This window comes from Homo sapiens, chromosome 17 (genome assembly GCF_000001405.40).
Source record: "Homo sapiens chromosome 17, GRCh38.p14 Primary Assembly".
Taxonomy (NCBI): domain Eukaryota; kingdom Metazoa; phylum Chordata; class Mammalia; order Primates; family Hominidae; genus Homo; species Homo sapiens.
The window spans coordinates 14,066,848-14,080,478 of record NC_000017.11 but is presented as its reverse complement, the minus strand read 5'-3'; the positions used below and the strand labels follow the sequence as shown (position 1 = coordinate 14,080,478).

Sequence of the window (13,631 nt, the reverse complement as noted above, 5' to 3'; positions counted from 1 at the left end):
CACTTTGGGAGGCCGAGGCGGGTGGATCACGAGGTCAGGAGATTGAGACCATCCTGGCTAACATGGTGAAACCCCGTCTCTACTAAAAATACAAAAAATTAGCCAGGCGTGGTGGCAGGTGCCTGTGGTCCCAGCTACAAGGAAGGAGAATGATGTGAACCCGGGAGGCGGAGCTTGCAGTGAGCTGAGATCTCGCCACTGGACTCCAGCCTGGGTGACAGAGCAAGACTCCGTCTCAAAAAAAAAAAAAAAAAAAAAAGAAAGTCTAATTCCCAAATGCTGTTGAGGGGAAGGGTAAATTATACTATCTTTTTAGAAACAAATTTGTTGTTTCATCAAAGATTTAAATGTTTAAAGCTAGCTATTACATTTCTAAGTACTGATCCTAAAGGCAGACTCACGTGAGTACAAAGACGTATACGTAAAAGTAACAGAGTTGCTTTTAATAGTAAAAAATCTGGAAATATCACAAATGTTTACCTGCAGAAGACTAGTTAATAATGGCAGATCCATACAATGGAATAGTATGCAGTGAATATTGTCAGTGAAAACTATACTGTCATAAGAAAATGGCATGTTGCAAAACTGTGTGTGTGTGTATACATACATACATACATACATATATATATATATATAAAATGATCCTATTTCTTTTGAAGAAAATGTACAACCATAGCTCTATCTGCATATGTGTCTATATAGAGAAGGCGACATTTCACACAGGGGTTTTTATCTAGAATGGTGGGAAAGGATACTTTCTTAGTTTAAAATATATGCTTCTGTATTATTTGAATTCTTTTTTATAATAAGCCTATACTAATTTAATGGAAATTTTAAAATACGTAAAAGGTAAATAAGACAAAACACAAAGTGATCATATCCCTCCAAAGAAGCTTCCAGAACTTTCCATGGCTATGATCTAACACTTTAGCCTGATATACATGCCAATATGACAACATGACCACTGCCTAACTCTTCGATCTTAATAAGCACCTCTCCTATATGATACTCAGGTCATACTATTGCTACTCATAGTCCCAGTGCAGCTTTTTGAATGTGCCAGGATAACTGAGACTCCTTTGCTTTTGCAAAGACTCTTCCCTCTACTTAAAATTCTCCTTCTCATCTTCCCTGCCGAGTAAATATTCATTCACTTCAAGTCCCTCCACAGGCAAAAACAACCTTAGGGGAAATATAATACACATTAAGCAGACAATCAAATGTTCACCTATACTTATTTGGAAACTTGCAGTGTCTCCCATGTGTCCAGCATGCTGTTGTATGCTTTATATGCATTAATTATTTAATTCTTAAATGATCTATTATTATTCCTACTTTATAGATGTGGATATCATCTCAATAAAGTTAAGGAACTGCCCAAAGTCTCACTGGCTAGTAAATGTCAGAGCCAAGATCTGAACTCAAGTGTGCTTGACTTCAAAGCCATATTCCAAGTTTTGAAAAGGGAGACTGGGGCCAAGAGCAGGATTAACAGAGGCCTTGAAAGGATCTGACTGGATATAAGACAGGCAGACCAGTTTCCCATGGAGGCGGGGGAACAAATATGGTGGGGTGAAAGGACTGGCCTCAATGGTAGGGTGGAGGGACAGGGAAAGGGAAAAAAGGTTGATTCTGAGGAACAGTTTGATCATTCCAGGTTACAGTGTTCCTTTAACACTAAGCAGGGTTGAGACAGAAGCTAATATGGAGAAACTATAGACTCGTATAAGTTAGGAAAATCGAAAGCAATATTTTGGGTAAGTTAGTTTGGCAACGCTGGGCAGCATGAACGGCAGGGTAAGCGGGGCGGAGGACAAAAGAAAGAACAGTTAGAAGCTGCTGCAAAAACCAACAGCCTCCCGTGTTTCCAATGTAAACTAGGATGGCAGCTTCAGAAATGAGGATGGGAAAGCAAATGTCACAGGGCTTACAAAAGATTCTGCTGGTGACAGAAATTAGACTCAAGATGAAGGGGAGAGCGGAGAGCAAAAAGTGAAGAAGACTGGTTCTAAGGTTTCTCCTCTGAAGGAAGCGAAGAATGCTGTAACTGACAGAAATGGGACAACAAGAGACGAGAGCTAATCTGCAGGGTGGATGTGCTAAGTGATGGCACACATGAAGCTCCTGCTGTTGACAGAGGCCACATCTGATGCCTACGGGCTGAGAGGCCTCATTTTTGGGGTGGCAGCATTATAAGCATAACTTATCTATAGTCATTCTTAACTTGTCAGCAGCATGACACTCAGGCCACTTGTGTAAATGACAAAAGAGAGTTTCTTTAGAAACATGCTGATTCGTTGCTTAGTGACCATAAACCACTGAGACATGTTTTCAAGCTTATCACACAGAATTCATCTCACTGTTTTAGAGTTACATTACACAAGTCTTACTAAGACTTTTTAGCTCCTTCACCAAAGCCCCTGTGTCTATTCATCATTTCTTCAAAAACAACTTTCTTTAAGTAAAGCTGGTCACTAAGGAGAGAAGTTGTCTAGTTACCTCCTTTTGCCTTGAATTTCAGGCTCAAGTCTCTTTAAAAAAAAAAAAAAAAAAAAATCACTCTTTCCCTGATCCTTCTCTGCTCTCAAAAGCCTCCCTGTCTCATCTTTTCATCTGACTCTAACATTATTTACCACTTTCTGTCCTCAAAGAGGCCTGGCTTACTCTTACTATTCATACATTATATTCAGTCTCTTTATTCTCATTTAAGAAGAATAAACCAGGTCTCCCTCAAGTTGCAGCATGACCCAGAACATACCTTCTAAACAGGGTTAGCCCAGAATAAGCTAAGTCAAAGCTTGGCTATATGATGGGATAATAATAATGCTCTGTCTGACTTACAGGGTGACTGTGACAACCAAATCACTTAATTATGGCAATACAATTTGGCACAGGATGCTAGAATTAGGTTAAAAAACAAAATCTGGTTCCAAATCTCCTTTCAGGAAAAATGCACCCTACATCCCCACAGACCTGTGACAACCCCAGAGGCTCTACAAGAAGCAAAACACAGAAGTGAACTGGGAGACTCAGTGGCCACTGTGGATTCATATCAAGCCCAGTAGTGCAATTCTTCCCATTCCAGAACTCAAGTTGACAAAACCTATTATCTTATGCATTTTTACAGCAGGTGTAAAAACACTAAAGACAAGGAAATAAGCAGGATAAACATTCAACTTTAATTGCAAAGGAAAGGGTGACTATTTTTAATACAATACTTACAATGCAATACTATTTACAATTCTGTGTAAATAGAATTCAGAAAATTTAATTTCAAATCCCAGTTAAATTGAAGAGAGGAAAAATACTAAGACAGGACCTGCAGTTCCAAATTATTCTTTTCAGGTGGTAAATAAAATTAGCTTTTTGTTTCACTAAAGATAGAGTTTCAAATAAGTAAGTATATCAGAAAAACAAAGTACCTGTGAGTTTGATTTTGGATAGTCGAGCCAAAATTCCTGGCAAATCATACACTTGCAGCTTCATCTCTTTCCACCGCTTTTCCTCTTTTGTCTCTTTCCCTACATCTATTGAGTCTTCAATTACTGAGTCTGGCTCTAGTTCTATCAATTCCTTTTCATTTGGCTTTCTGGACAAAGATAGGCTGGGCGGTGAGAGAGGTCTCATCTCATATATTTCTGCTTTGGCTTGACCTGAAGATGTTTTTTCAAGGAAAGGAGATGCTACTGGTTCTGGCTTGGGTCTTACTTGCTGGTTGTGGCTTCTGTTCAGCTGTGTGACATACTAAACAAAAAAGCACACATTACTATAAAACCAAGGCCCCAAATGCTCTCAAATGGTTATTTAGCAACATCTTCAATCAGACCAGCTTTTACATTATTTGAAAGCTTTTCCCACAGCTTTAATATCTGTTAATTCGGCATGTATTTATAGAGTGCTATATGGAAATCACTATACTAAGAGATATGGAGAATAAAATTTAGGCCTCAGTAATGGTTTTCAATTTCTGTAGTTTAGAAAAGCCTAGAAATATATGTTCCTTGAAAGAAAAATAAATTTACTTGTTATTCATCTCCTCCAGAATTTTCCCTGGAGGCTTAACATTCCAAATACAATAAAAAAGTTTTCAATAATCAAGGGCCCAGCCAGGCACAGTGGCTCATGACTGTAATCCCAGGATCCTCGAGCCTAGGAGTATGAGACCAGCCTGGGCAACATAGGGAATGTCTCTACAAAAACAAACAAAAAATTAGTGGGTCATGGTGGCATACGCCCACAGTCCCAGCTACTCGGGAGGCTAAGGCAGGATTGTTTGAGCCTAGGAGATTGAGCTGTGATTGCACCGTTGTACTCCAGCCTGAACGACACAGTGAGACCCTGTCTCACAAAAAAAAAAAAAAAAAAAAGACAAAAAAGAGCCCAAGTCAACCTGTTGACTTTCCATGTTCTCAGGCAAACAGCATAGGGAGGGGCTCAGTGGTAAGGCATAATCCAGGGCTGAATGATTTTTTTTTTTTTTTTTTTTTGAGATGGAGCCTCGCTCTGTTGCCCAGGATGGAGTCCAGTGGCAGGATCTCGGCTCACTGCAAGCTCTGCCTCCCAGGTTCACGCCATTCTCCTGCCTCAGCCTCCCAAGTAGTTGGGACTACAGGCACCCGCCACCAAGCCTGGCTAATTTTTTTTTACTTTTTAGTAGAGACAGGGTTTCACCGTGTTAGCCAGGATGGTCTCGATCTCCTGACCTCATGATCCGCCCGCCTCGGCCTCCCAAAGTGCTGGGATTACAGGTGTGAGCCACAGCGCCTGGCCGGCTGAATGATTTTATAGCAGGGCAGGATGAAGACAGAATGTGGGCTGTAGAGTCAGTCTCTACCACTTACTAGCAAAATTAATAACTACTGCTAATATTTGTGAAGTACTTTACAGTTTTATATAATATATATCTCATTTAATCTTCTAAACAGTTGTCAAAGAAGATAGATCATTATTAGTATCTCCTCTCTTTCTCTCTCTTTAACTTACAGATAAGGAAACTAAGCCTCAGAAATAAACTGATATATCAACAGCCAACAACCAGCTATAGGCAGGCATGGGAGTGGAGCCACCTATGCTGATAACTAGTTAAGTGCCTTTTCCATCACATCACAAAGATTTGAAATTACATACATTAGTCTTAATAAAGAATTATAAACTCATGAATGAAGAGTTCCATTTACATAAAAAAGGGCATTACACATATTTGAATTTCTCCTCTAAATATCCACCATTATCCTTGACCCCCAACTTAAAAAGCCTGAACATTTCTAGAAATTTAAATCTCTTATCAACATATCGAGTTTTATTAAGATTTTAATTTAAAGTTTTAAGTTAAAGATGAGAGAAATGTAAAATAGGACTTTAAATTATAAGTCTGCCGTTCTTTCAGGCTGGCACTATGAGTTTTCAGCTATCATTTTGCCATTCTATGACCCTTTTCCATCTGAGAAAATGCAAATGGCCTTCCTGGCAATTAATAGTAAGTTCCATATTGCCCACAAATTCATGGAGTCAACCTGGATTGACTTATGTTATCAATGTCTATTATAAAATGCTAGAAAATTATAAAAACTGTCGAATTGTTTGAATTTACTCAGAAGTGCAACTGTTAAAAAAGACTTTTAAATGTACTGCTGATTTAAGAAAATGAGAGGGTCACACTGTTAAAGCAATTATTTCTCTATTACTGATATAGTCACAGAACTCCAAAGAATTTTAAAAGATGTATCACAACAGTTCAGCTTTTCCCAATTTTGGCCAGGTCGAAATATGCCACAAGTTTTCAGTCTTTCTCTAAACTTAATCAATAAGTTCAGGATCATACTTTTAACCTCAAACACCAGAATTATTCTGGTTTCGGTTAAGAATAATCAAAACAAGACATTTGGATAAATTTAAGGACACTAAATAAAAGTTCTTTTCAAACAGTATTTCTTAAAACTTTAATTAAATAGGAATTTCTGAAATTCTCTCAACAGAGAAAAAGGCAGAAAGTAACAGAGTAAGAATGGTCTTCTAAACATACCATGCGTTTGAGGAAGCTAAAGTGCTGAAATGTAATCCACTGCTTATTGACATTCCTGAGAAGATGTAAGAACTTGTGAGGGGAGTCCTGTATAGTTCTTCTTTCAAGATACCAGACAGAGCCTCCTACGCAACCTATAATAGAGAGAGAAGTGGAAGAAAGGTTAAATGATTCGTACTTCTTATCAAATGATGACTACACCTCCCCAGAAGCAAAGCCAGCCACTAAGGTAAGCGCTACACTGTGTGATGGGTCAGAGCTTTGAAATAATCTAATCCAGATTTGTGAATAAATGCAATTTACCAGCCCTACTCATTGTTTAAGTCCGTGTAGGTCTTCAGAAGGGCCAGGGAAAATTTTCATTTCAGGATCACTATGCTTTACTACATTTAATGCTGAAATGACCACGCTACATATCTTCTTAAGAAAATATAAAACAACCCGTTCAGTCAATTTTTCAAAAGTAGAAAATAAAAAGCACAATTTTTCTTAATAAATGACAATAAATTGAAATATATAGATTTCAGGTTAATATTTTAACTAAGTAGGGTAAGACAACAAAAGGGAAGAAGAAACAGTTCTCAATAGAGTATGACTCTATCAGTCTAGTTAGGAATAAACTATTTTTATTGTATCTAAATTTGGCTTTTAGTCATTCTACTGAAACTTCTCTCAAGTATCAACAAATCCAATGCTTCTCTGCCTTGGTCCTCCTCCTACTCAAGCCTCCGACAAGCCATAGAACACTACAGATTCTCCCGAAGGCTTCCATGACACTAAGTGTTCCTGGTTCTCTGCATTCTATTTCTCAGTTGCAGATGGTGTCTATTCTTGCTATGTATGCCACCTTAAGGTATCCATGTTCCCTCTTTCTGAACATTAAATATTGTCCCTGAGCAAATGTAATTATAGGATAATTTCTGATCTTCAAACCATTTCTAGAGTCATCAGGTCTATTTCCATCTCCTCTCTTGGTATCTCTATATGGATGGATTGCAAAATGTCTTTAAGAGTGTTTTATTCTCAACCAATCTCTACTCTGTTCCCTATTGTACATAAAACCATTACTTAAGACTTCAGGAACATCTGAAGACTTCAGGAACATCCTGAACTCTCCTGTTATCAATTAACAATCATCAAGTCCAATCTACTCTGAAATATAGGTCAGATCTGTCCACTTCTTCCCATTTTTACTGATCATCTTACATTCATCATCTTACATTTGGACTATGGTAACGATAGCAGCATTCAAGCCAGTCCTCCTGCCTTCAATACTTCCTTTCCTCTCCAATCCACGTTCCCAGAGGCAACAGTTTTCTTCCTGTTACATATTACTAAATACATATTACTCACACAACCCACCAAAGCAACATCGCCCATGACCCTCCACTGAAAACACCACACGTTTCACAATTTGTTCATCTGTTTCTATCGTTTCCTTATTTGCACACCACTCTGTCAAATTTTCTGTCTTTGTCAACTACTCTATCACTTTATGCCATGTTGCATGACACTTCTTCATGCAAATTGTTCCCATCATCTAATTTTTTAGTTCCTTGATGGCAAGAATTCTCCTTTACTCACCACCTTTGTACAACAGCTAGCAGAGCACTTTTATATAATAAGGAAATGATGTTTGATGACTAGATAGCCCACACAGCACACCTGGACTATGGGAAGGAGAACTATCACAACCCCAAGAAATACATCACAATTTTCTTAGACTGGAGATAAATCACTTCTTCACTGAAATTATGGTCTCAAACCTGAGTTAATTATGACATGCTTGTTTTCCATAAACATGAAAATGTGTTTGTCTTGGAACCACCTTGGAAAATAACTCTCATGATTAAGTGGGTGGATTACCTGAGGTTAGGAGTTCGAGACCAGCCTGACCAACATGGTGAAACCCCATCTCTACTAAATACAAAAAACTAGACAGGCATGGTGGTGCATGCCTGTAATTCCAGCTACTTGGGAGGCCAAGGTTGGGGGATCACCTGAGGTCAGGAGTTCGAGACCATCCTGGCCAACACAGTGAAACCCCGTCTCTACTAAAAATACAAAACTTAGCCGGCCGTGGTGGTGGGCGTCTGTAATCCCAGCTACTCAGGAGGCTGAGGCAGGAGAATTGCTTGAACCTGGGAGGTGGAGGTTGCAGTGAGCCAAGATTGTGCCATTGCACTCCAGCCTGGACAACAAGAGTAAAACTCCATCTCAACAACAACAAAAAAAAGATTACGTGGGTCAAACTGAGATTTTACAGAATGGTAGTAAGAAGAAAAAACAGCTATGAAACTGACATTTCATTTCGTTGAAACATGTCACATTTTTATGAATCAGTGCCTAGAAACTGAAAGACATTTCAGCCTTGTGTAAACAAATGTAAGTTTAGAGATACACAAAGATTATAATAGATACATTAAAATTCTGGAAGCATAAGACCATATCTATTATTCACCATCAACACTGGCTCCTGATTTTAGGACGTTTAAAATTAGGTAAGGAGACAAACAGCTAAAAAATGCTGACATTTTTAATTTTTTTTTTATTTTTTGAGATGGAGTCTCACTCTGTCACCCAGGCTGGAGTGCAGTGGCACGATCTTGGCTCACTACAACCTCTGCCTCCTGGATTCAAGCGATTCACCTGCCTCAGCCTCCCAAGTAACTGGGATTTCAGGTGCACACCATTGCGCTTGGCTAATTTTTTTTTTTTTTTTTTTTGGTATTTTTAGTAGAGAAGGCATTTCACCATGTTGACCAGGCTGGTGTTGAACTCCTGACCTCAAGTGGTCCACCTGCCTTGGCCTCCCAAAGTTCTGGGATTACAGGTGTAAGCTACTGCGCCCGGCCAGTGATGACAGTTTTTAAATGGCTGTAAAATACTTAGAACTTTTAGAAGCAAAATCAGGCATGATACTACTCGATCACTAACACTGTCCCAGTTTACCTTCTCTGCCACCTTGTCCCACCATGCTGCTTCCCCATCAAGCTCTCTTAGTAGATCTTCCAAATGGATCACAGGGAGTTATACAGACCACTTACTAGCAGAGTTTTTGGCAATTATGTTCACAGCTTCAGGGAGTAAGCTGTCTATTAATTCCTTCCATACCACCACTGCAAAGACTGATGCAGCAACAAACCATATGGGCCACATGCAGCCCACCTACTGGAACTGGGCAATTCACAGTAGTCAAGCAGAATTGTCCTATAGCTGACAATATAGAATGGAAAGGCAGAAAAACAGCTAATCTGAAGGATGCATGCTGGAAAAACCTCCATACAGAGAAGATATTTGAAGCAACATAAAAGGATGAGTTCTCTGAGAATGAGTGCCCAGGATCAGGATCAAAGAACATTCACAGTCAGGTATGGTAGAATGTAACAAAGAAGTGATTCAAAAAAGAATCACAGGACTTTAAAAAACAACAAACAACAACTTTTCATTATGGAAAATCACAGCCATGTGTAAAAGCAGAAGAGTACCATGAGCCCCCATTACTTATCCCCAAGCTTCAACAATTACCAGACCCTAGCCAATCTATTCTACCTCTCCACTTTACAAACCAAACAGGACCTTTGAGATCACCTACTTCAATTACGTCATTTTATAGATGAGTAAACTCAATTCCAGAAAAGTCAAATGAATTGCCCTGGAATCACACAGACCAGAAGACAGCCATAAAATAACATTATGAAAAAGAACGAAGAACGCAATTTCATGGAGTCACAGTGTCAACATCACCAGATGGTGCAGAGAGCTTGTGTGTGGTAGGTGACAAGTGAAAAAAGTTTCTGGGATGTGATCAAAAGGCAGTCCCTGGCTTCTCTTATCTGGCCTCTAATATGCACCACCGGCATCACATTCCTCACACAACCATTAGTTAATCATCTAACGTCCTCTTTAAGATCTCCATGGGGACAAATTGCATCCATCCACAAATAACTATTGGGAGCAAACAATGTACACTAAGTACTGTTCTGGGCACTGGAAACACAGAGGTAAACCAGAGATGGACACTGTCCCTGCCATCACAAGGTTTATATTCTAGTTGGGAAAAACAAATAATAAACGAGTATATAAATAAACAAGTATAGACTGTGCTAACCATAATGAAAGAAATAAATGGAATGATGTGAAAAGAAAGAAGTAGGGGGCCCTAGTTTATATAGGGTGGTCTCTATAAAGGCCTCTCTGAAAAGGTGACATTTGAGATGAGCCATTACCAAGAGTCAAGGAAGAACATTCCAGCTCCAATATACATTTGTCACTAGTTTCTTCGAGTGAAAGGATATTAAAGACCACTCTGGCGGTACAGAGACAAAAGTCTGATGGGGACTACACTCCGCTGTCTGCAACTGTCATTATCATCAACGTTGTCATCATGACCCTTTATATTGGAACAAGGCTTCTGAGTGGAAGCAAAGCACCTTCCTTGTCATTGCAAGCCAGTGGCTAGAAGCCGAGGCTCTGATAAGGAGGACTGTGGAACCCCAAGGTTCTGCTCTGCCCTCTCCTCCAGCTTCCACTATCTGAAAACCTAAAGAAGCAGGAAGACACCGCTCTTCCGCAGAAGCCGGATGGAGGAGGCTGTGTGGACCACTAAAGCCACAGTGCAAGACTGGACCCTAGCTCCGTGACCTCTTCACTCCAAGCTACTCCAGAGGTCATTTCCCCCACCACACCGGTGGCCGGCCAACCTCGCCAAGGGCTCCCCAAGGTTGCAGCCAGCCGGAACCACGGCCTCGCACGTGGTAATAAGAGAAGAATTTCCCCCAAGGTCGTGCCCAAGGCGGGTACAGTACCTGTCAGGAGGCGTGAGGAGAGAGTGTGCGGAGATGCGGCCATAATTTACGAGTCTGGGGCCGCTCCCCGGGATCCCTGTGTCCTCTCTCCTCACGGGACGCTGGGCGCCGCCATCTTCCTTCCCCGCCCCCCTGTGGGAGTAGTTCCGGGCCGCCACTTCCGGCGGGCGGGCTCCGAAAGGAGAGCGTGGTGTCTGGAGGTGATCGGAAGGGACTGGCTGGAGTGTGGCGGGCTGACAGGTCTGAGGCCTGAAGGACTTCCGGGAACCGCAAAGCACGGTGTGCCTCCGCTGTCCTGAAGAAAAAGCCGCGCGCGGACGACTGGCCGGCCCGCGCTTGCAGCTCCCAGAAGTTGACAGGCATCCTCCGGTGACCGGGTGAGGTGGGCAGGGTTGGGCTGCAGAGTCCTCCCGGGCAATTTAAAGTTACAGCGGCCGGGCGCTGTGGCTCACGCCTGCAATCCCAGTGCTTAGGGAGACCGAGGCGGGAGGATCGCTTGATCCTGGGAACTCGAGACCAGCCTGGGCAACAAAGCGAGACCCCGCCTCTACAAAAAATGTAAAATTAGCCAGGTGTGGTGGCGCGTGCCTGTGGTCTCAGCTACTCAGGAGGCTGAGGCGGGAGGATCGCTTGAGCCTGGGAGGTCGAGGTTGCGGTGATTGCGCCACTGCACTGCAGTCTGGGCGACACAGTGAGACCCTGTCTCTAAAAATAAATTTTAAAATAAAAATAAAGTTAAAATTAGAACACTTCCCGGTGACAGGAGCATCATGAGGAAATGGTTCTCGTGGGGATGCTTCCACCTCCACGTCTAATCAATTACACTTTACCGTAGTCTCTATCAAATGGGAGCCCAGAGGAACTCCGGGTTACTTGTTTCTGAGCCACACTAAAGGAACTGAATCATCCAGATATCTCCAGATTGCATGTAGAGGTTCAGATTTGGTGGTCTGGAGTGAAATCCGTATTCTAGTTCTGGCCTTTTGACCTTGTTGGAGCAAATTACCTAAGTCCTCTGAACCTCAGTTATCTAGCAATACAATGGAGTAGTAATGGTACATCTTTTATAAGAGGTTGAGAGAATTAGATAAATGTGTTTCATGGGTAGCCAGACACCTACTAGGTACAGGCACTAATAGATTATTACCTGTGTTATCATAAGTGTTGTGATTACCAGGGTAGATCTCAGCATCCCCCAACCCCTCGATCTTCTTTTCAGATTGGGGTTCCACAAGTAAAAAGTAGATTGAAGAAAAGATTCCGCTTTTGAAAAAGAAGAGAAAAAATAGGTAATTGGGTTCTAAAAAGGCCATTTTTTTCTGTGTTTTCAATGATGAGAGGATAGCCGTTTTGGTTCACCTCAACTAACATTGCTAGGCACAGGGGACGCTGAAGAGATTAAGACACCCCCCCCACCCGATTCTGTAGGAGCTTAACACTAGACCAATGAGGGGACAAGAGGTTGTCGATTGTCACTATCAGTGTGATAGGGGTAGTATACAAAGTGCTGCAGAAACCCTGATGAGGTAACATTTCTGTGCAGTTGGTTTAAGGAAAGCTTCAGAGATCTAAACTTGGTGCTCTGGAAGGAACAGTAAGATTTTTACAGCATACACAATGAGAACACTTGGACACAGGAAGGGGAACATCACACACACTGGGGCCTGTCGTGGGATGGGGGGAGGGGGGAGGGATAGCATTAGGAGATATACCTAATGTAAATGACGAGTTAATGGGTACAGCACACCAACATGGCACATGTATACATATGTAACAAACCTGCACGTTGTGCCCATGTACCCTAGATCTGAAAGTAAAAAAAAAAAAAAAAAAAAAAGATTTTTACAGCATAAAAGAAAGGGAAAGGACACTCCATAAAGAGGAAAATAGCATTAAGTACTACGTTAAAAGTTTTTGAACTCTTTATAATTTTCCATGTGCTTTTATAAACACTTGTTGTTTAAACCTAGAGCAAAAGTTATCCTCTCTAAGTCTGGCACATTAAGGCCCAGAGAGTTTTAAGTAATCTGATCAAAGTTACCTAGCTGTTGAGTGCCAGAACCAAGACCTGAGTCCCTGAAACCTGTGAGGGTGTTATTTTCACCATGCCATAAGGCATTACTCACCTAAGCATCTTGAAGAGTCATAGCTTCTGTGATTTATAAAACTTAGTGTTTTTCACCTTGGCAGCCTATCAGAATCAAATGTAGGACTTTAAAAAATTATAGATGTCTAAGCCACCTCTAGACCCATTGAATCTGAGGAGGTGTATGATAGATGTAGAGAGACCTATAATTTTCTCTTTAAAGCACCGCTGGTGATAATGATATACAGAACTGAGAATACTGGATTCCAGCTTTTACTTCACAACACAACCATGTCTAAAAGGTTGATTAACATGAATGTTATATTTCACTAACTCCCAAGTTCTCTAGGCTTATGATAGGCAAGGGGTTTAATAGACATGCACCTTCTTGACCAACAGATACTTCCTTTGTTTTAAATTTTTTTCCAAAAATGGGCACAAGGTAAGGCCAAGTACACAAATGAATGCATAGGTTTTTATTTATTTGTAGAAATTAGAGGCCAGGCGTGGTGGCTCATGCCTGTAATCCCAGCACTTGGGGAGGCCAATGTGGGCAGATCACCTGAGATCAGGGGTTTGAGACCATCCTGGCCAACACGGTGAAACGCTGTCTCTGCTGAAAATACAAAACTTAGCTGGCCGTGGTGGTGAGCGCCTGTAATCCCAGCTACTCTGGAGGCTGAGGCAGGAGAATTGCTTGAACCTGGGAGGCGGA

The 13,631-nt window shown here is 41.2% G+C and overlaps 1 protein-coding gene and 1 long non-coding RNA gene across 2 annotated transcripts in view, besides 1 other annotated feature; one reads left to right on the top strand and one right to left on the bottom strand.

The window, feature by feature from the left end:
- COX10 (cytochrome c oxidase assembly factor heme A:farnesyltransferase COX10) overlaps positions 1 to 10,975 on the bottom strand; it is a 139,174-nt gene extending 128,199 nt beyond the window's left edge. Inside the window, exons 1-3 of the mRNA NM_001303.4 lie at positions 10,831 to 10,975; positions 6,023 to 6,156; positions 3,423 to 3,744 (exon numbers count right to left, since the gene is read on the bottom strand). Coding sequence (NP_001294.2) covers positions 3,423 to 3,744; positions 6,023 to 6,156; positions 10,831 to 10,873 — 499 coding nt within the window. The 5' untranslated portion in view covers positions 10,874 to 10,975. The remainder of the gene's footprint in view (positions 1 to 3,422; positions 3,745 to 6,022; positions 6,157 to 10,830) is intronic.
- Positions 10,817 to 10,886: an enhancer, noted in NCBI's record as "active region_11742". NCBI's record gives its function as "activates an Ori minimal core promoter by ATAC-STARR-seq in GM12878 lymphoblastoid cells {active_cell/tissue: GM12878}" and the evidence as "EXISTENCE:reporter gene assay evidence [ECO:0000049][PMID:35858748]".
- COX10-DT (COX10 divergent transcript) overlaps positions 11,021 to 13,631 on the top strand; it is a 40,167-nt gene continuing 37,556 nt past the window's right edge. The window contains exon 1 of the long non-coding RNA NR_049718.1: positions 11,021 to 11,207. This is a non-coding gene — a long non-coding RNA (COX10 divergent transcript). The remainder of the gene's footprint in view (positions 11,208 to 13,631) is intronic.